Here is a 21279-nt window from a genome sequence, read left to right on the forward strand (position 1 = left end):
TTAATATCAGCGGAGACTTTATTTGGGCCAAGCTTGAGGATTGCATCCCAGGAGCACAGATTCAAGTTGCCCTGAATATACACTCCGATTAGCAGAAGTTGAAATGGATTTTAAAAGGACAAGAGAGCTCCTGAGTTGTTTACTAAGAATTTACATTAAAATAACAAACTGGCTGGCTGCAGTGGCTCAGGCCTGTAATCCCGGTTCCTCTGGCAGCTGAGGTGGAAGCATTGATTCAGGCCAGTTTGAGACCAGCTTGGACAACATAGCAAGACACCGTCCCTACAAAATAAATAAATAAATAAATAAGTAAATATATAAATAAGTTGTCGTAGTGCATGCCTGTGGTCGTAGCTACTCAGGAGGCTGAGGCGGGAGGATCGCTTGACACCAGGAGTTGGTGACTAACTACAGTTAGTGAGCTATAATCGTGCCACTACCCTCCAGCCTGGGTGACAGAGCGAGACCTTGTCTCTAAAAAAATAAAAATAGGCCGGGTGTGGTGGCTCACACCTATAATCCCAGCACTTTGGGAGGCTGAGGTGGGCGGATCACCTGAGGTCGGGAGTTCGAGACCAGCCTAACCAACATGGAGAAACCCCGTCTCTACTAAAAATACAAAATTAGCCAGGTGTGGTGGCTCATGCCTGTAATCCCAGCTACTCGGGCGGCTGAGGCAGAAGAATCACTTGAACCTGGGAGGCGGAGGTTTTGGTGAGCCAAGATCTCACCACTGCACTCCAGCCTGGGCAACAAGAGCCAAACTCTGTCTCAAAAAAAAAAAAACCCAAAACAAAAACAACTAAATAAAAATAAATTAGTGACACCCCGTCTCTACCAAAAAAATAAAATAATTGGGTGGGTGTGGTAGCACGTGCCTATAGTTCGAGCTACTCCAGAGGCTGAGTTGGGAAAATCACTTGAGCCCAGGAGGCCAAGACTGCAGTGAGTTATGATTATGCCACTGCACTCCAGCCTGGGTAATAGAGCAAGACCCTGCCTCAAAAAAAAAAAAAAAAAAAAAAGGCTCAATAAAAGGTTATTTGAAAGATAAAAATCAGGCCAGGCATGGTGGCTCACGCCTGTAATCCTAGCACTTTGGGAGGCTGAGGTGGGCGGATCACCTGAGGTCAGGAGTTTGAGACCAGCCTGGCCAACATGGTGAAACCCCATCTCTACTAAAAATACAAAATTAGCCAGGCATGGTGGTGCCATGCCTGTAGTCCCAGCTACTTGGGAGGCTGAGACAGGAGAATTACTTGAACCTGGGAGGCAGAGGTTGCAGTGAGTCGAGATCACGCCATTGCACTCCAACCTGGGCAACAGAATGAGTCTCACCACAACCTCCGCTTCCCGGGTTCAAGCGATTCTTGTGCCTCAGCCTCCTGAGTAACTGGGACTACAGGCGCGTGCCACCATGCCCGGCTACTTTTTGTATTTTTTAGTAGAGATGGGGTTTCATTATGTTGGCCAGGCTGGTCTTGAACTCCTGGCCTCGTGATCTGCCCGCCTCAGCCTCACAAAGTGCTGGGATTATACGTGTGAGCCACCGCGCCTGGCCTATCGGGGGAGTTTTCAATAGGCCCTAAGGGAGTCAAGTCTGGGTTTCTGAGACAAAGAAAAGGTTGGAGGGGTCCTGGTGTTCCTGGCCTAGATCAGGCTTGGGCTGCAGCCATGAAGGTGCTGTGATCAGGGGCAGTGGAGGCTGCTGGCCCCAAAGGGACACACTCTACTGGGCGTGGTTGGGGTTTGGTGACACAGGCATTGAGAAGTGACAGCAGATAGTGCAAAGTGTGCATGGGTATAACTTCTGGAGAAGTTCAGGTAACATCTATGCGAAGGCACAGATTCTTGGTGTTAACGAGCATGCATATTGGCCTGCCATGTGATTATATTTGTATCATCAACTCGCACTCCTGGAGTTGGGAATCATGTCTTTTTACTTAACACAGGTAAGGAGCCCTGCTCAGGGTGGGAAACACAGATAATACTTAACACGTTTTGGGAAGGAGTAAAGAAGTGAAGGCCAGGCGTGGTAGCTCACGCCTGTAATCCCAGCACTTTGGGAGGCAGAGGTGAGCGGATCACCTGAGGTCCGGAGTTCGAGCCCAGCCTGACCAACATGGAGAAACCCCGTCTCTACTAAAAATACAAAATTAGCAGGGCGTGGTGGTGCATGCTTGTAATCCCAGCTACTCAGGAGGCTGAGGCAGGAGAATCGCTTGAACCTGGGAGGTGGAGATTGCAGTGAGCCGAGATTGTGCCATTGTCTGGGCAACAAGAGCAAAACTCCATCTCAAAACAAAACAACACAACAACAACAAAAAAACAAAGGCTTAGCTCACAGGTATGCACTAGAGAGGTTGAGCTAGTATGCTAGCTGTGTGATTATTCCTTCTGTCTTGCTGCTCTGCCATTTTAAACACGTCTTTACCTTATGATCCACTGTGGCTGCTTGAGTTCCAGCCATCACATTCATCGTCCAGCCTGCAGGAAGGAGGAAATGAAGAACAGAAGATAAAAGGCCCATGCCAGCTGTCTGTCAAGAAGCTTTTTCTGGAAGCTGTCATATATCCCTTCCACTTACATCTCACTGGACAGAACTTAGTCACATGGTCATACTAGCTGCAAAGGAAGCTGAGAAGTATCAACTTCATTCCAGGGTGCCATGTGTCTAAATTAAAAATTATGAGTTTTTTTAGTCAGGGAGAGAGAGAGAAAGGATATTGGGTGGACAGCAAGCAGTGTGGCCACACAGGGATCACCTCTGAGAAGAGGGACCTTTGAGGTTCCATGCTTCCCAGGAGATGCCCACTTCCCTGCCTTTCCTGTCAGCCATGGAAGGGCATGGTTAATACGAAGCTGGCCCAGATCCACGTGTGGTCCCCTCATCTCCCCAGTGACTTCTCTCCAAGCCTCTGTCCCCATTCCCTGCAACCTTGGTCACCAAAGTCACCCTGATTCCCAATTGTGGGTCCTCCAATCTCTTCCCTTTCAGCATCTACCAGACAATGTTCCCCGCTGGGATGCCCCTGCCCAGATCACTCTAACCTTCAGGGCCCCAAGTCAGTTTCACTGCTGAGGACAACAGCCCTCTTTCCTGGTTCCCTGTCCCTTTCCTGAATTAGTTTCTGCGGGAACTGAGCCACATGGTTCGGCTTCATCAAAGATAGATTTGCCAAATTGACATACAATTCACATATCATAAAATTCAGCCTGTAAAATTGTACAAAGGCTAGACATGGTGGCTCATGCCTGTAATCCCAGCACTTTGTGGGGGTGAAGGGGGATGCTTACTTGAGTCCAGGAGTTTGAGACCAGTCTGGGCAATATAATGAGACCTTGTCTCTTTTTTTTTTTTAAAGTGTACAAGTCGGTTGTTTTCAATATATTCACCGAGTTGTGCAACCATCACCACTAAGGCACAGGCGGATCTTTTTTTTTTTTTTTTTTGAGATGGAGTCTTGCTCTGGCACAATCTCGGCTCACTGCAAGCTCCGCGTCCCGGGTTCATGCCATTCTCCTGCCTCAGCCTCCTGAGTAGCTGGGACTACAGGCGCCCGCCACCATGCCCGGCTAATTTTTTGTATTTTTAGTAGAGACGGGGTTTCACCGTGTTAGCCAGGATGGTCTCGATCTCCTGACCTCGTGATCCGCCCGCCTTGGCCTCCCAAAGGCCTCCCGGCCTTTTTTTTTTTTTTTTTTTTTTGAGACAGGGTCTCCTTCTGTCACCCAGGCTGGAGTGCAGTGGCACGATCTCGGCTCACCACCAGCCTCTACCTCCTGGGTTCAAGTGATCTTCCTGCCTCAGTCTCCCTAGTAACTGGGACTACAGGCATGAACCACCATGCTCAGATAATTTTTGATTTTTTTTGGTAGAGACAAAGTCTCTCTGTGTTGCCTGGTCTGGTCTCAAACTCCTCTGCTCAAGTGATCCTCCTGCCTTGGCCTCCCAAAGTGCTGGGATTACAAGCATGAGACACTATGCCCGACCCTAAGACAGATCTTTAATCTCAGTGACTTCTCACCAAAAGAAGCTGCTTTTCTCCTCTGAGCATTGCAATTCTCATGTCATTATGAGTGGCCCAATCAGGTGTTCAGAGGTTCCACTTGCTCACCTGTGTCTCCTCACAGTCACATAGGTATCTTCCCTTCAGTGCCTCTTTGCTGAAAATCATCTCTGCACCAGGCACTGTGCGAGGCTCTGGGGATACAGCAGTGAATATGCCGTGCATGGGCCCTGCAGGCATCAGGTACCAGGTGGGAAGGGTGTTCCAGGGGTGGGAACAGCCACTGCTAAGGTCTGCAGGCCAGGAAGATGAGGGAGGTCTGGGCTGAGCAGTGGTGAGGATGGAGATGGGATATTGCCCGCAAGCTGTGGCTCGCGTGGTTTATCTTGGTGGAGAGCTGGGTGTTTCCAGTGTTTGGCTGGGGCAGCTTCCAGCTTTGGACACACTTCTATTTTTGTTTCCTCTTGGGCTCCTTCTACAGGGCTTATTCCCAAACGCTGGAGTGCTGGGTCAAAGGGCTCCGGAGGTTTTATTGGTCTCAGGAAATTCTGAGACCGTGCTGACTTGTACGCTTTTAGAGAGTGAATTTTATGACATGTGAATTGTATGCCAATTTGGCAAATCTATCTTTGATGAAGCTGACCAGTGTGGCCCAGTTCCCACATGGAACAATTCAGGGCAGGGACAGGGAGCCAGGTGTGAGGGCTGTTGCCTCTGAGCCACCTGTGACCTGTGCTGTGTTCTCTGCTGCAGTTGCCAACTAGAGTTGAGTTTTACCTTTTGGATTTATTTTTTGCCAGTTTAATGGATGTTTAATGGCACCTCGGAGCTGTCTTTAATGTGTGTGTCTTTAATTACGAGGGCAACTGGCAGCCATGGGGCTTGGCCCTGGATTTCCACCTTGTTTCCTAATTGGATGCTGGGCTCCAGCCTTGCTGTCCCACCCGACAGCAACAAGGAGTGGAGTGGAGCCGGGTGCAGTGGCTCGCGCCTGTAATCCCAGCACTTTGGGAGGCCGAGGCGGGTGGATCACCTGAGGTCGGGAGTTCGAGACCAGCCTGACCAACATGGAGAAACCCTGTCTCTACTAAAAATACAAAATTAGCCGGTCGTAGTGGCGCTTGCCTGTAATCCCAGCTATGTGGGAGGCTGAGGCAGGAGAATTGCTTGAACCCAGGAGGCAGAGGTTGCAGTGAGCTGAGATCGAGCCACTGCACTCCAGCCTGGGTAAGAGCAAGACTCTGTCTCCAAAAACACAAAACAAAACAAAACAAAACAAAACAAAATACAAAGGAATGGAGTGGAGGAGGTGGCGGGGAGCAGGGGGTGGAGGGTGGGGTGGGGTTGTGGGTAGAGTGGGGCTGGGAGACTGCGAGCTCTTAGCGCCAGAGGAGGACTGAGATTTCAGCCTCAGCTGCCCTACTTGCCCCCATTCCCTTCTGAGCTGCACTTTCCTGGCCTCTGAAATAAGAGTTCATTTGTTCAAAAACATAAAAAAAAAAAAAAACTGCCTTCAGTATCTTGGCTCTGCCACTTCCTGGCTGTGTGGCCTTAAGCAAGTGACTTAACCTCTCTGGGCATCAATTTTTTTCATTGTAAAGTGGGGATAACCAATAGATCCTGCATTTTTTTTTTTTTTTTTTTAGATGGAGTCTCTCTGTCGCCCAGGCTGGAGTGCAGTGGCGCAATCTCGGCTCACTGCAAGCTCCATCTCCCGGGTTCACGCCGTTCTCCTGCCTCAGCCTCCCGAGTAGCTGGGACTACAGGTGCCCGCCACCGTGCCCGGCTAATTTTTTTTTTTTTTTGTATTTTTAGTAGAGACGGGATTTCACCGTGGTCTTGATCTCCTGACCTTGTGATCTGCCCACCTCGGTCTCCCAAAGTGGTGGGATTACAGGTGTGAGCCATCGCGCCCGGCCAGCTCCTGTATTTTGCAGCTGAGGAGGGGATTAAGTGATTGAGATGTGGGAAGTGCTTAGAATGGAGCCCAGCAGAGATCAGTGGGCAGCGGACATCGGTGCTCTCATGGACCCAGTGGGCTCAGCACTGCGCTCTCTGCACTGCAGTCATGGGTGAGCCCATGATGGCTTCCACTTGACAGGGGAGCAGGCAAAGCAAGCACGCGAAGGTGCCGGGTGCATGGAGTGGAACCCTGCTGTGGGAGGAGGATGGGGGCTGCTTTACAAGAGAAAGGACTTTTCTTTTCTTTTGTTTTTTGAGACAGGGTCTCACTTTGTCACCCAGGCTGGAGTGCAGTGGTGTGATCACAGCTCACTGTAGCCTTGAACTCCTGGGCTCAAGTGATCCTTCTGCCTCAGCCTCCCTTGTTGCTGGGATGACAGGTGTGCTCCATCATGTGAGGCTAATTTTTGGATTTTTTTGTAGAGATGAGGTCTCACCATGTTGTCCAAGTTGGTCTTGAACCCCTGGGCTCAAGCAATCCTCTTGCCTCAGCCTCACAAAGTGCTGGGATTACAGGTGTGAGCTACCATGCCAGGTCATGAAAGGACTTTTCTGAGAAAGGGACATTTGAGAGACCAGTATGGGATAAGGGGAAAGGGTGTGTGTGTGTGTGCGTGTGTGTGTGTGAATGTGTGTGAGCATGTGTGAATGTGTGTAAGCATGTGTGAATGTGCATGCGTGTGAGCATGTGTGAATGTGTGTGTGTAGGGAGTTGGGGAGTGTGTGACTCAGACATGTTGAGCTCCAAGTTGAGTGGTCGGCGATGCAAAGGTGCCGAGTGGGGGAGAGCGATTGAGGAACCAGCGTGGCCAGAGTGGAGGAGAGGAGGAAGGATGAGGTCAGGGTGGTGAGGCGGCACCTCTCCACGGCCTTGAAGGTCATGGTGAGCTGCTGAGTCAACTCAGGGAGAAGCCACTGGAGAGCTTTAAGCCCGGCATGGCCGTGAGCCAGGCAGTTTCTGAATGACTCCTTCAGTGCTGGGTGGATGCCCCCTGGAGGAGGATTCGTGCCTGCACCCCAGCATGGCTTGGAGGCACAGGGTGAGGCACAGCAAGTGCCCCCCTGGAGCATGGGAGTGCCCGGGGAGAACAGGAAGGGAGAGCCGGCCTGGTGTCAGGTAGTGGGGGCTGGGCCGGGCCTCACTCTACAGTAGCGGGACCCCAGGCCGCGCAGGCTGCACTCTGAGTCACGGGGCACCTGGACGGGCACTGGGCAAATGGCCCTGGGCCCCACCCTTCCTGGCTCTGGCTTCCCACTGCCTCCTGCCACCTGGGTAGCTCTTTGGGACCACTCCCCTGGGCATTACTGCTAACTCCACCTCCACTATTTCACCCTCAAGTGGTGGGTGGGGAGACGACCCCTTCTCAGACACTTGGGTGGGAAGGAGGGGGACCCCGAAGATCTAGCAACAGAGGGTCAGCTGCCCAGAAGGCTTTGGAGGCTGTTTTTTGTTTTTTGAGACTGGGGCCCTGAATTATCTGCTTAGAGAGCTGGGCCCCAGCCAGGCCGCTGGGGTGCCAGGCGGAGCTCCGGGGCTGCCTGCAGCAGGGAGAAAGCCTCACTCTGACCTGGCTCTGGTTGGCTCAGGGCTCTTGCTGGATCTGGGCCCCCACCTGCCCTGGCCTCCTTGGCTTCCCCTTCCGCCCAAACCCCAGAGCCCTCCTGCTTCTGGCCTTTGAGACTGAACCAGAGCTAGCTAAAAAATTCGAACCCAGGCCGGGAGTGGTGGCTCACACCTGTAATCCCAGCACTTTGGGAGGCTGAAGCGGGTGGATCACCTGAGAGGTCAGGGGTTCCAGACCAGCCTGCAACGTGGTGAAACCCCCGTCTCTACTAAAAATACAAAAATTAGCCAGGTGTAGTGGCGCACGCCTGTAATCCCAGCTACTCCGGAGGCTGAGACAGGAGAATCGCTTGAACCTGGGAGGCGGAGGTTGCAGTGAGCTGAGATCGCGCCATTGCACTCCAACCTGGGTGACAAGAGTGAAACTCCATCTCAAAAACCAAAATAAAACAAAACAAAAAAACCCCCAAAATTAGAGCCTATAAGAGGACTGGGAGATGGAGTCCTTCCCAGCCCCGCCTGTGTGGATGGAGAAGCCGATTCCCTGGGGAGGAGACAGAGGCTGACTGTGCTGTCCCTCTGTCTGTCTGTCTTTCTCAGCTTCTTGCCCACCTCCGGGGTCCCCATGCTGGGCAGCAGTGGACAATGAGCCCCCCTACTTTTTTTTTTTTTGAGACAGAGTCTTGCTGTATCACCCAGGCTAGAGTGCAGTGGCACGATCTTGGCTCACTGCAACTTCCGGCTCCCGAGTTCAAGCAATTCTCCTGCCTCAGCCTCCCGAGTAGCTGGGATTATAGGCATGTACCACCATGCCCAGCTAATTTTCGTATTTTCAGTAGAGATGGAGTTTCACCATGTTGGCCAGGCTGGTCTCAAACTCCTGACCTCAAATGATCCACCTGCTTCGGCCTCCCGAATAGCTGGGATTATAGGCATGTACCACCATGCCTGGCTAATTCTTGTATTTTCAGTAGAGACAGGGTTTCACCATGTTGGCCAGGCTGGTCTCAAACTCCTGACCTCAAATGATCCACCCGCTTCAGCCTCCCAAAGTGCTGGGATTACAGGCATGAGCCATCGCGCCCAGCCGACACCGAGCCCCCTTAAAAGCTGCAAGGAAGAGATATCTGAGAAAGCCAGTCATTATGGCACTGTAGTCATAGCAAAATATGCAAACATTTAAAATATCCGTCAGCAGAAGGCTATTTAAATGATGACGGGATAGCCACGTGGTAAAATACTACACAGCTGTTAAAAAGGTCAAGGTTCTGAACAGAAATGAAATGGACTGCAAAATACATTGTGAAGCAAGGAAGGTGTGTGGCTGTGTATGTGGTTGCAGCCACTTGTTACAGGCTCACACATGCAGCCATTTGTATCCTCAGGAAGGACACAAGAAATTGCCTTTGGAAACGGGATGGGGACCCGGTGAAGGGATGGGAGACAATTTATTTTTTTCTCTATACTCTTATGTATTTTTTTTTTTTTTTGGAGACGGAGTCTCCCTTTATCCTCCAGGCTGGAGTGCAGGGGAGCAATCTCGGCTCACTGCAACCTCCACCTCCCAGGTTCAAGCGATTCTCATGCCTCAGCTCCCTGCCTGGGATTACAGGCACCTGCCATCACACCTGGCTACTTTTTGTATTTTTTAGTAGAAACGGGGTTTCTCCATGTTGTCCAGGCTGGTCTTGAACTCCTGACCTTAGGTGATCTGCCCGCCTCAGTTTCCCGAAGTGTTGGGATTACAGGCGTGAGCCATGGTGTCCGGACTCTGTGTACTCTGGATATTGGTTTTTCTTTTTCTTTTTTTTTTTTGAGACAGAGTTTCACTCTTGTTGCCCAGGCTGGAGTGCAATGGTGCCATCGCGGCTCACTGCAAGCTCTGCCTCCTGGGTTCAAGCGATTCTCCTGCCTCAAGCTCCCAAGTAGCTGGGGTTACAGGCATGCACCACCAAGCCTGGCTAATTTTTGTATTTTTAGTAGAGACAGGGTTTCTCCATGTTGGTCAGGCTGGTCTTGAACTCCCGACCTCAGGTGATCTGCCCGCCTTGGCATCCCAAAGTGCTGGGATTACAGGCGTGAGCCACCACGCCCAGCCGACATTGTTTTTTTGTTGAGACAGGATCTTGCTCTATTGCCCAAGCTGGAGTGCAGTGGTGTGATCACAACTCACTGCAGCCTTGACCTTCCTGGCTCAAGGGATCCTCTCACCTCAGCCTCCCAAGTAGCTGGGACCACAGGCACGCACCACCATGCCCAGTTAGTTTTTTAGTGTTTTTGTACAGATGGGGTCTTGCTATATTGTCCAGGCTGGTCTCCAACTACTGGGCTCAAGTGATCCTCCTGCCTCAGCCTCCCAAGATGCTTGGATTACAGGCATGAGCCACCACACCTGGCCTCATTCTTGACACTTTTGATCATGTGCTGTATCTGAAAAAAAATTTTAAGGGAAAAGTCCAAGGTAAAGGGACCACTTCCACCCTTTAAAGAACACCCCTGAACACCTAAATGGGCCTTGGAATCCCCGGATCTCAGCGTCAGCTGATGAGCAAAGCCCCTCTCCAGCCTCCCCTCCTCCCCACAGATTCCCTCTGCCTGACTCAGCTGAGGCGAGTCAGATAACCAGATGGAGGTGCAGCCAGGCTTGTCTGGAGTGACAGATGTGAGAGCAATAGAGACATGGCCCTGCCCCTAAGGCCTGAGGAAGGGTGTGACTCAGATATTGAGCAAGACAGAGGCCCTCAGTCACCAGGAGGTGAGCCCCTGTCACCACACTTGGATAACCCCGTGGGAGCTGCTGGGCGCGCACAGGACAGGTGCTCCTGAGGGATGCCCGTGCGGGGGTGGGTATGCAAATAGGAACAAGCTTTGCAGAGTGGACGGATGCTTGATATTATTATTATTATTTTAATATTATAAAATACTTTATTAAAATTCAGGAAGGGTTAGGTCAGGTGTGGCTCATGCCTGTAATCGCAGAACATTGGGAGGCTGAGTCACTTGAGGTCAGGAGTTTCAGACCAGCCTGGGCGATATGGTGAAAACCTCATCTCTACAAAAAATACAAAAATTAGCTGGGCGTGGTGGTGATGGGTGCCTGTAGTCCCTGGGGAGGCTGAGGCATGAGAATTGGTTGAAGCCAGAGGTGGAGACTGCAGTGAGCCAAGATCACGCCACTGTACTCCAGCCTGGGCAATAGAGTGAGTGAGACTCCATCTCCTCCCACCCCAAAAAAAAAGTAAAATAAAAAAGTAATAAGATTCAGGAAGGGTTAGTATTTTTAATTCAGTATATATATACATACATATATATACACATACATATATATACACATACATATATATACACATACATATATACATACATATACATATACACACACATATATACATATATACACATATATACATATATACACATATATACATATATACACACATATATATACACACACACATATATACATACACACACACACACACACACACACACACACACACACACACACACACATATATATATATATATCGGAGTTTTGCTGTTGTCCCCCAGGCTGGAGTGTAGTGGCCCGATCTCGGCTCACTGCAGTCACCGTCTCTGGGTTCAAGCAATTCTCATGCCTCAGCCTCCCCAGTGACTACAGGCATCCATCACCACCATGCCTGGCTAATTTTTGTATTTTTAGTAGAGACAGGGTTTCACCATATTGGCCAGGCTGGTCTCAAACTCCTGACCTCAGGTGATCCACCCACCTCGGCCTCCCAAAGTGCAGGGATTACAGGCGTGAGCCACTGTGCCTGGCCAGGTATAGAATTTTAAAAAAACTTACATTTTAGGTTCAGGGGTACACATGCAGCTTTGTTATATGGTAAACTCATGCCACGGGGGTTTGTTGTACAGATTATTTTGTCACCCAGGTATTAAGCCCAGTATCCAATAGTTATTTTTCCTGCTCCTCTCCCTCCTCCCACCCTCCACCCTCAAGTAGGCCCCAGTGTCTGTTGTTCCCCTCTTTGTGTCCGTGTGTTCTCATCATTTAACTCCCACTTATGAGGGACAACATGCGGTGTTTGGTTTCCTGTTCCTGCATTAGTTTGCTAAGAATAATGGCCTCCAGCTCCATCCATGTCCCACGAAGGACATGATCTCTTTCTCTCTTTTCTTTTTTTTTTTGAGATGGAGTTTCCCTTTTGTTGTCCAGGCTGGATTGCAGTGGTGCGATTTCGGCTCACCGCAACCTCCGCCTCCTGGGTTCAAGCGATTCTCCTGCCTCAGCCTCCCGAGTAGCTGGGATGACAGGTGTGAGCCACCGTGGCTGGCTAATTTTGTATTTTTAGTAGAGATGGGGTTTCTCCATGTTGGTCAGGCTGGTCTCGAACTCCGGACCTCAGGTGATCCGCCCGCCTCAGCCTCCCAAAGTGCTGGGATTACGGGCGTGAGCCACCGTGCCCGGCCTTGATCCTTGATATTATTAATACTAAAGATAATAATCAGGTTGGGTGTGGTGGCTCACACCTGTAATCCCAGCACTTTGGGAGGCTGAGGTGGGCAGATCACCTAAGGTCGGGAGTTTGAGACCAGCCTGGCCAACATGGTGAAACCCCATCTCTACTAAAAAAAATAGAAAAATTAGTCAGGCATGGCAGCGCATGCCTGTAATCCCAGCTCTGTAGGGAGCTGAGGCAGAAGAACCGCTTGAACCCAGGAGATAGAGGCTGCAGTGAGCCGAGATTGCTCCACCACACTCCAGCGTAGGTGATAGGGCGAGACTCTGTCTCAAAAATAATAATAATAATAATAATAATCACCCCAGGGACATTTAATGAAGGCTTGTGCTGGGCATCAAGGCCTGGAATTCTGGCAACAATGAGAGGATCACTCCCATTTCCAGAGGTATTTCAAAAGGGCTGAACAGCTGGCTGTGCTCCTCTGCTACCAATCCTGCATGGCTTCCTGTGGCCTGGTCAAGCCCAGCTCACCTTGACTATGGGTGCCCCTTGCTCCTTGCACTCTTGCCCCACTGCCTTCTTTTAGTTGGCTCTGCCACTTAAAAGCTGTGTGACCTTAGGCAAATTACTTAACCTCTCTGTTCCCTCCTCTATAAAATGGAGATAATCCATAGTCCTTATTTCACAGACTAGTCCAGAGCCAACACGTTAGTAAGTGTAAAGCACTTACAACCATGCCTAGCTCAAGGGAAGCCCGTGTTTGCTATGATGTCATTATTACGCCATATTTCATCAAATCTAAGATGTTGGCCAGATGTAGTGGTGCACGCCTGTAATCCCAGCACTTTGGGAGGTCAAGGCAAGCGGATTGCTTGAGATCAGGAGTTCAAGACCAGCCTGGGCAACATGGTGAAACCCCATCTTTACAAAAAATACAAAAATTAGTTGGGTGGATGGTGGATGTCTGTGGTCCCAGATACTGAGGAGGCTGAGGTGGGAGGATCCCTTGAGCCAGGGAAGTTGAGGCTACAGTGTGTTGTGATTGCATCACTGCACTCCAGCCTGGGTGACAGAGATCCTGTCTCAAAACAAAAAACAAAAAAAAACTAAGATGTCATCGATTATAAAAATGTCACTAAGAAAAGAGAATGCTGCCAGTTAACGATGTCCCAAGGTTCTTTCATCACTAGAATTTTTCTTTTGTATTTCTCGAAAGAGCTCTGTTTCACTTAAATGTAGATTCTTATCATATATAATTCTCATGCACACATAAAAAGGATAATAGAAGCAAAATAAATTGGTTACCATGTTCAGAAAACTCCTTCACATTTAGAGTCCAACTTGTTTGAATCATTTTTGGTCTGAGAGTCGTGATGTCTGTGTCTGCCTGCCACCTCCTTCTCTGAGTCCTTGAGAGTTCTACGGAGAGCAGTACTGCTCCAAACATTCCATAAAACAGCCAGGCGCTCTTAAGCCAGCTTTACAATTGTGCAGATGAAGTGGAGCCGAGTTTTCACTCTGCTCTAGGAGTGTCACTGACAGGCCGGGCGTGGTGGCTCACACCTGTAATCCCAGCACTTTCAGAGGCCGAGGTGGGTGGATTGCCTGAGGTCAGGAGTTCGAGACCAGCCTGGCCAACATGGTGAAACCCTGTCTCTACTAAAAACACAAAAAAGCATCTGGGCGTGGTGGCAGGTGCCTATAATCCCAGCTACTCAGGTGGCTGAGGCAGGAGAATTGCTTGAACCCGGGAGACGGAGGTTGCAGTGACCCGAAATTGCACCATTACACTCCAGCCTAGGCGACAGACACAGCGAGACTCCGTCTCACCAAAAAAAAAAAAAAAAAAAAAAAGGGAGTGTCACTGACAAGCCTGGTTCCCTTCCCCTGGGGTTTCCCACCATTTGAGTCCCAGGGCTAAAAAGGGTTCTGCTTGCCTCTAGGATTTCTTCCAAGCTGCTGACACTCTTCTGAAGGATTTGATGCTGGTGCTTTTCAGGTGTGGGTCCTGACAGTGATGTTGGGACGGCAGCTAGCCAGACAGCAACTGTACCATGTAAACTCACTTCAGAGGTGTAGAATGGGGGCTGCGTGAGGCAGCTCATGCCGTCATCTCAGCCCTTCAGGAGGCCAAGGCGGGAGGATCACTTGAGCCCAGGAGTTCGAGACCAGCCCGGGCAACACAGCAAGACTCTGTCTGTACAAAAAACAAGCAAAATAATTAGCCAGGTGTGGTGGCACACACCCGTAGTCCCAGTTACTCAGAAGGCTGAAGTAGGAGAATTGCTTAAGCCCAGGAGGTTGAAGTTGCAGCGAGTTGTGATCTTGCAACTGCACTCCAGACTAGGTCACAGATTCAGACTCTGTCTCTTAAAAACAAAACAAAACAAAAAGTGAAACGTGAACATTAAGCATCTTGGAATAGATAAAACATGCATAATTTCCAATCTTTTTGCTGACCATGCTTCCAGCTGCCTCAGAGCAGTTGCACATTCTGTTCCTGCTGCCTGGAATACCCTCCCTTCCTTTCCACTTTGCCCTGTTAACCCAGCCATCCCTGATCTCATGCGTACTCCAGGATGCCTTCCCTGATCATCCTGCCGAGGTCAAATCCCCTCCCCTTCATAGCACCTAGTATGGCTACAACAGTCTCGAGTGTATAGAGGATGGGGTGGGGTGAGGTCACAGGAATGATGCTCCCTTCTATCTGGGGTTCAAGGGAGGCTTCTTGGAGGAGCATCTGAACCAGGCTTCCCAGGGGATGTGGTTTGGGTAACTTTGAGAAATACTGAAGGGAAAAGAAAGAACGCTGTAGTGAGTGAAGCCTGGCATTTGGGAAGATGGGTGTGTGGGTGACCAAACTCACCACGCAAGGCCCAGAGCCCTTTTGAGGCCCTCGAAGGTCCCAGGCTGGGGTCATCCTCTCCAGTTTCAGTTTGAGAAAACAAGGCCCAGAGAGGTGAAGGGCTGTTCGGTCATTGCCCATGGAGCCAGGGGAGCTGTGGGCCTTCCGCCGCCAACCTCTGGGCTAGCCCTGCAGAGATGCTAGGAGGATGCAGGGAGGTGAGGTGGGGGCTGAGGTAGGACTCAGACTGCCCAGGCCCGCCTGCACCCGGAAGGAGGAAGCTGCACAGGGTGTCTGTGGCTGGCCCCGGGATCCCCCACTCGGGGACTTCCTCTTCCTCTCAGGGCAGGTGCAGCTGCCACAGTGAGACGGGCACCCCGACCCGGGCATGGAGGGGGGCAAGGGGCCCAGGCTCAGAGACTTCCTGAGTGGGAGTCTGGCTACCTGGGTGAGGGGGCAGGTGGCAGCGGGTTGGGGAGGGGAAGTGAGCCCCAGCCAGGGGCTGGTGTTGGCGCTGGCCGGGGGAGGGTGAGGCAGAACCAGGCCGGAGGGGAGGGCTGGGTTCAAATGTGGGGGATGGAGATATGGTGTGGGGGGCTGTGGTGAGGGAAGAGGGGACAGAGGCACTCAGAGGACGGGTGAGAAGGGGTGCTTGGGCTCACTGGGGCAGGTCGGAGGGGCTCAGGGTTCACTCTGCTGGTCGGCTGACCCCTCTGGGCTCCTCACAGGCGCTGGGACTGGCCGGGCTGGTCGGGGAGGCGGAGGACTCGGAGGGGGAAGAAGAGGAAGAGGAGGAAGAGCCGCCCCTTTGGTTGGAGAAGAGATTCCTGCGCCTCAGCGATGGGGCCCTGCTCCTCCGGGTGCTGGGCATCATGTAAGGGGCATCGGGCCGGGGCGGTGGCGGGGAAGGATCTGAGAGGAGGGGAAGCGGGTGGGCGGAGCCTGATGCTCAGTGGGCGGGGCCTGAGGGACGGTGGGCGAGGCCTGTTGACGGGAGGCGGGTCCTCGAGCCCACCTCCGGCTCATAGTGCCCCCAGCTCCCGAGGGGGACCTCGGATGCTCAGAGGCCTTGACGGACCTGCTGCCTGGCGAGTGTGGAACCTGAACCACCTGTGGGGCCGACTGAGGGACTTCTACCAGGTAAGGGGTCTCGAGGGAAAGGCGGAGACAGGAGGGGAAGAGGAGCCCCTTCGGGAAGGCGCCTCATATAGTCTGCCTCTCTGCCTCCAGGAGGAGCTGCAGCTGCTGATCCTGTCGCCACCCCCAGACCTCCAGACATTGGGATTTGACCCTCTCTCAGGTGCTCTCCCCACCCACACCCTCCTGCCTCTGCCCCCGCACTACTCTACCTTCCCCGCCCCAGTTAACCCCTTGTGGCATGTGCCTTGCAGAAGAAGCGGTGGAGCAGCTGGAAGGCGTTCTTCGGCTACTGTTGGGAGCGTCAGTACAGGTGAGCCGGCGGTGGGAAGGAAAGGTTAGGGTCGAGCTTTGGCGGTAGAGGAGGGAGATCCTGCACCAGCTCCCCTTCCTGTCTCCCCTCAGTGTGAGCACCGGGAACTCTTCATCCGCCACATCCAGGGCCTCAGTCTCGAGGTCCAGAGCGAGCTGGCCGCTGCCATCCAGGAGGTACTGAGACGGTTCGGCAGCCCAGACTGGTATGGCACCTGGGACGCCCTTGCCACACCGCGGCTTCCACTGAACTGCTCTTCCTGCGCCCCAGGTGACCCAGCCGGGGGCCGGCGTGGTGCTGGCACTGTCTGGGCCAGATCCTGGGGAGCTGGCACCTGCCGAGCTGGAGATGCTGTCCCGGAGCCTGATGGGGACACTGTCGAAGCTGGCACGGGAGCGTGACCTGGGGGCCCAGGTAGGGGCAGCAGGGGCATCGTGGACTCAGGTTGGGGAACTGGAGGACCATCAGGGAGCCGGTTGTGCAAGGGAGATGGAAGTTTGGGGCCCAGGCATGGGGTTGTGGTCTGAGGTCTTGGGCCATCAGTGATGTCACAACCAGATGGCCCAAGACCCCAGACCACAACCCCATGTCTGGTGTTGTGGTTGGGGGTCGATGTGCAGAGGCATTGGATAAGTTAGTCCTGACCCTTGACCCCTGACCTACAGCGGCTGGCTGAACTGCTGCTGGAGCGAGAACCCCTCTGCTTGAGGCCTGAGGCTCCCTCTAGGGCTCCCGCCGAGGGCCCCTCGCACCATCTGGCCCTGCAGCTGGCCAACGCCAAGGCTCAGCTGCGGCGTCTGCGGCAGGAGCTGTGAGTGTGCGCAGCCTGGGAAGGGGACTGAGTGGAGAGGGGCAGATTAAGCCTGGATGGGACCCTAGCCCTGGTGGCTACGGGAGGGGTCAGGCCTGGGAAGGGCTGGGGGTTGTGGGCCCCCAGACCCTCCCTAGACTCCCCTTCCCTCCAGGGAGGAGAAGGCCGAGCTGCTGCTAGACTCCCAGGCCGAGGTGCAGGGTTTGGAGGCCGAAATAAGAAGGCTCCGCCAGGAGGTGCGCTCACATGCTCCCCGCCACCGCGGCATTCCCTAACCTCCCCGCACCCGGTCCCATTGCCTCCCTCCCAACCCGGCTCCTTCCCGTCCCTAATCCCTCTGGCCCGCGGCTGGCTGTTCCCAGCTCCACACCGTCTGGCCCAGGCCCAGGCGCTGTCGGGACAGGCCAAGCGGGCCGAGCTGTACCGCGAGGAGGCAGAGGCGCTGCGGGAGCGGGCCGGCCGCCTGCCCCGCCTGCAGGAGGAGCTGAGGCGCTGCCGCGAGCGGCTGCAGGCGGCTGAGGCCTACAAGAGTCAGCTGGAGGTGAGGCGGAGACGGAGCCGCGGGGCGGGGCGTGCGCGAGGGGGCGGGCCAGGAGGAGGGGCGAGATTGGGTCCCGAGGGCAGAGAGGCAGGTTCTCTGGAGGGGACAGTCACAGGTGGAGAAATGGGTGAGGACAAATTCAGGGAGGTGGCGTCTGGGAAAGGGCCTCCAGAGGATGGGGCAGGTGTAGGGGAGTGGGGGGGCTGTGTAAGTGATGCAGCCTTGGAAGGAGGGCTGTTCCCGGGGGGGAGGGGCGGGGCATGGACAGAAGGGCGGGGCCTGCACAAAGGGCGGGGCCAGGGGCGAGGGAGAAAGTACCTGAAGAGATCTTGGTGGGAAGAAGATGGAAGGGAGTGGCGGGGCCTAGAGACTGATGGGGTGCAGGGTGGGGGAGGGAGGCAGGGTCTGTGACAGGCTGAGGGGAAGGAGTTTGGGACCCTCAGGCGCTGGAGTGCATGGGGGCTGCGTGGCTACCGGTTCTCCCTGCTCTCCCACCAGGAGGAGCGGGTGCTCTCGGGGGTGCTGGAGGCGTCCAAGGCGCTGCTGGAAGAGCAGCTGGAGGCTGCCCGAGAGCGCTGCGCCCGGCTGCACGAGACCCAGCGCGAGAACCTGCTGCTGCGAACCCGGCTGGGCGAGGCCCATGCGGTAAGGTAGCCAGAGTGATCCCACTTGGGTTGCCCCGTCACCCCATGACCCCATTGATTCCCTAGTGGTCCCTAGTGATTCTTGCAACCTCTGCTCTTGGTGACCTCTAGTGACCCTCCGACCTACACACTCGGCCTGGCCATGGTGTGGAGGGCTTGTCTGACCCTTCCCTCACCCCCAGGAGCTGGACTCTCTGCGGCATCAGGTGGACCAGCTGGCTGAGGAGAATGTGGAGCTGGAGCTGGAGCTTCAGCGGAGCTTGGAGCCACCTCCAGGATCCCCTGGGGAGGGTGAGGGACCCCACTGGAAGGGCTGGGGTGGGGGCTTCCTATGCTTTCCAGCAGTGTACTGGGGAGAGCCTCTGACTCCCTCCCTTCTCCCAAGCCTCTGGGGTGTGTATGTGAGGAGCCAGGCAGTAAAGGAGGGGTCCTGACCTCATCTCTCATCCTCAGCACCCCTAGCAGGAGCGGCCCCCTCGCTGCAAGATGAGGTGAGGGAGGCAGAGGCTGGGCGGCTTCGGACCCTTGAGAGGGAGAACCGGGAGCTTCGGGGGCTGCTTCAGGTGCTTCAGGGGCAGCCAGGGGGCCAGGTAAGTCCCCTCCCCCAGGGTCCTGGCCGGCCCTTCCCCTAGTCCCTCCCTGGGCCTGACTGTCCCTCTCGTATGCCCTCAGCACCCCCTGCTGGAGGCACCGAGAGAGGACCCTGTTCTTCCAGTGCTGGAGGAGGCTCCCCAGACTCCTGTGGCCTTCGACCACAGCCCTCAGGGCTTGGTTCAGAAGGCAAGGGATGGAGGCCCCCAGGCCTTGGACTTGGCTCCCCCGGCATTAGACTCAGTGCTCGAGGCATCAGCTGAGTGTCCCCAGGCACCTGATTCAGACCCACAGGAGGCAGAGAGTCCCCTTCAGGCAGCTGCCATGGACCCCCAGGCCTCAGACTGGTCCCCGCAAGAGTCAGGCTCTCCTGTGGAGACACAGGAGTCCCCGGAGAAGGCTGGCCGTAGATCCTCTCTCCAGAGCCCTGCCTCTGTGGCCCCACCTCAGGGTCCAGGGACCAAAATTCAGGCCCCGCAGTTGCTGGGAGGAGAGACAGAGGGAAGAGAGGCTCCCCAAGGCGAGTTGGTGCCTGAGGCCTGGGGGTTGAGACAGGAGGGCCCTGAGCACAAGCCAGGGCCTTCGGAGCCCAGCTCTGTGCAGCTGGAGGAGCAGGAGGGCCCAAACCAGGGCCTGGACCTGGCCACGGGACAAGCAGAGGCCAGAGAGCATGACCAGAGGCTGGAAGGGACGGTCAGGGACCCAGCCTGGCAAAAACCACAGCAGAAGTCAGAAGGGGCTCTTGAGGTCCAGGTCTGGGAAGGCCCAATCCCAGGGGAGAGCCTGGCCAGTGGTGTCGCAGAGCAGGAGGCCCTCAGGGAGGAGGTGGCACAGTTGAGGAGAAAGGCTGAGGCCCTTGGAGATGAGCTGGAAGCCCAGGCCCGCAAGCTGGAGGCCCAAAACACGGAGGCTGCCCGCCTCTCCAAGGAGCTGGCCCAAGCGCGAAGGGCAGAGGCCGAGGCCCACCGGGAGGCAGAGGCCCAGGCCTGGGAGCAAGCCCGGCTGCGGGAGGCAGTGGAGGCTGCTGGCCAGGAGCTGGAGTCTGCGTCCCAGGAACGGGAGGCGCTGGTGGAGGCGCTGGCAGCAGCGGGCCGGGAGCGGAGGCAGTGGGAGCGTGAGGGGTCCAGGCTGCGGGCCCAGTCGGAGGCCGCCGAGGAACGGATGCAGGTGCTGGAGAGCGAGGGCCGCCAGCACTTGGAGGAGGCTGAGAGGGAGCGCCGGGAGAAGGAGGCCCTCCAGGCGGTAGGTCAGGTTGGGGCTCACCGCTGGGGTTGGGAAGCAGAGTTCCAGGCTGTTGGGAGTTACTGATTCCATCAGCAGCTGTTCAGTGGGTGCCCAGCACTGAGCTGGGGCTGGAGATAGAAAGGCCAAGTCCACCCCTGCCTTCCAAAGGTGTGCCTGGCCTGGGGCACAGAGCCATGTCCACTGTGTGATGGGGGCGCTGTGGGAGGGGGTGGGACTGCCTAGTACACATCTTGGCTCTCTGGCTGCAGCAGTAGACTCACCTCCACCCCAGGCATCCTTCTGTAAAACAGGGGTACTATTCCTGGCCACCTGGGGTGGTCTTAGGAGGACCTTGGGAGACAGTAGCTGTAAAGGTCTGGTTCATGCTGGCAAGGGTATGTTGTAAGTGTTCAAGCACTGGTTATTCAGAGCCAAGTGCTACGAGAGCCCATGGGAGGGTGAGCTGATGCCCAAGTGGAGGCAAGGAGGCTTTAGGAGGAGTGACCATAATGTCACTAGGTGGGGAGGACATTTTGTCCAGAGGGAATGGCATGTGCAAAGACAAAGGCATTAAAGACGCTCAGGGGCTGGGTGTGGTGGCTCACACCTGTAATCCCAGCACTTTGGGAGGCCGAGGTGGGTGGATTACTTGAGGTCAGGAGTTCTATACCAGCCTGGCCAACATGGTGAAACCCTGCCTCCATTAAAAATACAAAAATCAGCCAGGCGTGGTGGCAGGCACCTGTAATCTGTTACTTGGGAGGATGAGGCAGGAGAATTGCTTGAACCCGGAAGGCGGAGGTTGCAGTGAGCTGAGATTGTGCCACTATACTCCAGCCTGGGCGACAGAGCGAGACTGTCTCAAAACAAACAAACACCATCCAATGAAACAACAACAAAAAAAGAATGCTCAGGGCCCAGGAGGAAGGGATGATGAGGGCCAGCTTTGAATGTGTTGGTCCTCCCTCCCCAGGCAGGGAAAGCCAGGGTAGAACTGTGTGGGGCTGCGCTTGAGGAGGGTCACCTTGGTGGACAGGGGAGCTTGGGGCTATCAGGACGCAGTAGCCATGGTGTAAGTGGCAGAGGAAGCTGACTAGGGAGGCATGGGAGTGGGTGTGAGAGGAGGACTGGACACTTTTTTCTTTTTGAGACAGAGTCTCCCTCTGTTGCCCAGTCTGGAGTGCAGTGG

The 21279-nt window shown here is 54.4% G+C and overlaps 1 protein-coding gene, 1 long non-coding RNA gene and 1 other non-coding gene across 5 annotated transcripts in view, besides 11 other annotated features; 1 reads left to right on the top strand and 2 right to left on the bottom strand.

Annotated features, from left to right (window-relative positions):
* On the bottom strand, window positions 1-15743 carry LOC102723878 (uncharacterized). 3 transcript variants are annotated; one of them, NR_188518.1, is made up of 4 exons: window positions 15492-15743; window positions 14851-15029; window positions 2435-2487; window positions 1-282 (listed from the first exon to the last, which is right to left on the bottom strand). It is a non-coding gene; the product is annotated as an uncharacterized LOC102723878 (long non-coding RNA). The 3 variants fall into 3 exon arrangements; NR_188520.1 differs by lacking the exon at window positions 15492-15743 and having other exon boundaries at window positions 14851-15106; NR_188519.1 differs by lacking the exon at window positions 15492-15743 and having other exon boundaries at window positions 13290-15106.
* Window positions 291-443: a silencer, noted in NCBI's record as "fragment chr11:64092812-64092964 (GRCh37/hg19 assembly coordinates)". NCBI's record gives its function as "represses an EF-1alpha promoter that drives an FKBP-Casp9 reporter gene in an ReSE screen in K562 erythroleukemia cells {active_cell/tissue: K562}" and the evidence as "EXISTENCE:reporter gene assay evidence [ECO:0000049][PMID:32094911]".
* Window positions 5985-6507: an enhancer, noted in NCBI's record as "H3K4me1 hESC enhancer chr11:64098506-64099028 (GRCh37/hg19 assembly coordinates)". NCBI's record gives its function as "activates a minimal SCP1, AML or CMV promoter by ChIP-STARR-seq in primed H9 embryonic stem cells {active_cell/tissue: H9 hESC(primed)}" and the evidence as "EXISTENCE:reporter gene assay evidence [ECO:0000049][PMID:30033119]".
* Window positions 6773-6822: an enhancer, noted in NCBI's record as "active region_4899". NCBI's record gives its function as "activates an Ori minimal core promoter by ATAC-STARR-seq in GM12878 lymphoblastoid cells {active_cell/tissue: GM12878}" and the evidence as "EXISTENCE:reporter gene assay evidence [ECO:0000049][PMID:35858748]".
* Window positions 9793-10293: an enhancer, noted in NCBI's record as "H3K4me1 hESC enhancer chr11:64102314-64102814 (GRCh37/hg19 assembly coordinates)". NCBI's record gives its function as "activates a minimal SCP1, AML or CMV promoter by ChIP-STARR-seq in primed H9 embryonic stem cells {active_cell/tissue: H9 hESC(primed)}" and the evidence as "EXISTENCE:reporter gene assay evidence [ECO:0000049][PMID:30033119]".
* Window positions 9793-10581: a biological region, named in NCBI's record as "CRISPRi-validated cis-regulatory element chr11.3041". NCBI's record gives its function as "regulatory_interactions: CCDC88B | MRPL49".
* Window positions 9886-10581: a transcriptional cis regulatory region, noted in NCBI's record as "candidate enhancer chr11.3041 targeted for multiplex CRISPR interference". NCBI's record gives its function as "positively regulates CCDC88B and MRPL49 gene expression in K562 cells {active_cell/tissue: K562}" and the evidence as "EXISTENCE:mutant phenotype evidence [ECO:0000015][PMID:30612741]".
* Window positions 9888-10147: an enhancer, noted in NCBI's record as "active region_4900". NCBI's record gives its function as "activates an Ori minimal core promoter by ATAC-STARR-seq in GM12878 lymphoblastoid cells {active_cell/tissue: GM12878}" and the evidence as "EXISTENCE:reporter gene assay evidence [ECO:0000049][PMID:35858748]".
* Window positions 10398-10457: an enhancer, noted in NCBI's record as "active region_4901". NCBI's record gives its function as "activates an Ori minimal core promoter by ATAC-STARR-seq in GM12878 lymphoblastoid cells {active_cell/tissue: GM12878}" and the evidence as "EXISTENCE:reporter gene assay evidence [ECO:0000049][PMID:35858748]".
* Window positions 15155-21279, top strand: part of CCDC88B (coiled-coil domain containing 88B) — a 17331-nt gene continuing 11206 nt past the window's right edge. The window contains exons 1-14 of the mRNA NM_032251.6: window positions 15155-15277; window positions 15558-15703; window positions 15858-15969; window positions 16060-16129; window positions 16221-16279; window positions 16372-16455; window positions 16550-16693; window positions 16945-17090; window positions 17245-17326; window positions 17473-17631; window positions 18130-18276; window positions 18458-18566; window positions 18729-18865; window positions 18948-20108. Of these exons, the coding sequence (NP_115627.6) occupies window positions 15218-15277; window positions 15558-15703; window positions 15858-15969; window positions 16060-16129; window positions 16221-16279; window positions 16372-16455; window positions 16550-16693; window positions 16945-17090; window positions 17245-17326; window positions 17473-17631; window positions 18130-18276; window positions 18458-18566; window positions 18729-18865; window positions 18948-20108 (2616 nt within the window). The 5' untranslated portion in view covers window positions 15155-15217. The remainder of the gene's footprint in view (window positions 15278-15557; window positions 15704-15857; window positions 15970-16059; window positions 16130-16220; window positions 16280-16371; window positions 16456-16549; window positions 16694-16944; window positions 17091-17244; window positions 17327-17472; window positions 17632-18129; window positions 18277-18457; window positions 18567-18728; window positions 18866-18947; window positions 20109-21279) is intronic.
* Window positions 15694-15773: a silencer, noted in NCBI's record as "silent region_3478". NCBI's record gives its function as "represses an Ori minimal core promoter by ATAC-STARR-seq in GM12878 lymphoblastoid cells {active_cell/tissue: GM12878}" and the evidence as "EXISTENCE:reporter gene assay evidence [ECO:0000049][PMID:35858748]".
* Window positions 15794-15843: a silencer, noted in NCBI's record as "silent region_3479". NCBI's record gives its function as "represses an Ori minimal core promoter by ATAC-STARR-seq in GM12878 lymphoblastoid cells {active_cell/tissue: GM12878}" and the evidence as "EXISTENCE:reporter gene assay evidence [ECO:0000049][PMID:35858748]".
* MIR7155 (microRNA 7155) lies at window positions 16800-16855 on the bottom strand. The gene has a single exon (NR_106977.1). It is a non-coding gene; the product is annotated as a microRNA 7155 (primary transcript).
* Window positions 17708-18002: a silencer, noted in NCBI's record as "tiled region #2125; HepG2 Repressive DNase matched - State 4:PromP". NCBI's record gives its function as "represses a minimal TATA promoter and a strong SV40 promoter by Sharpr-MPRA in HepG2 cells {active_cell/tissue: HepG2}" and the evidence as "EXISTENCE:reporter gene assay evidence [ECO:0000049][PMID:27701403]".

The sequence above is a fragment of the Homo sapiens genome, chromosome 11 (genome assembly GCF_000001405.40).
Source record: "Homo sapiens chromosome 11, GRCh38.p14 Primary Assembly".
Taxonomy (NCBI): Eukaryota; Metazoa; Chordata; class Mammalia; order Primates; family Hominidae; genus Homo; species Homo sapiens.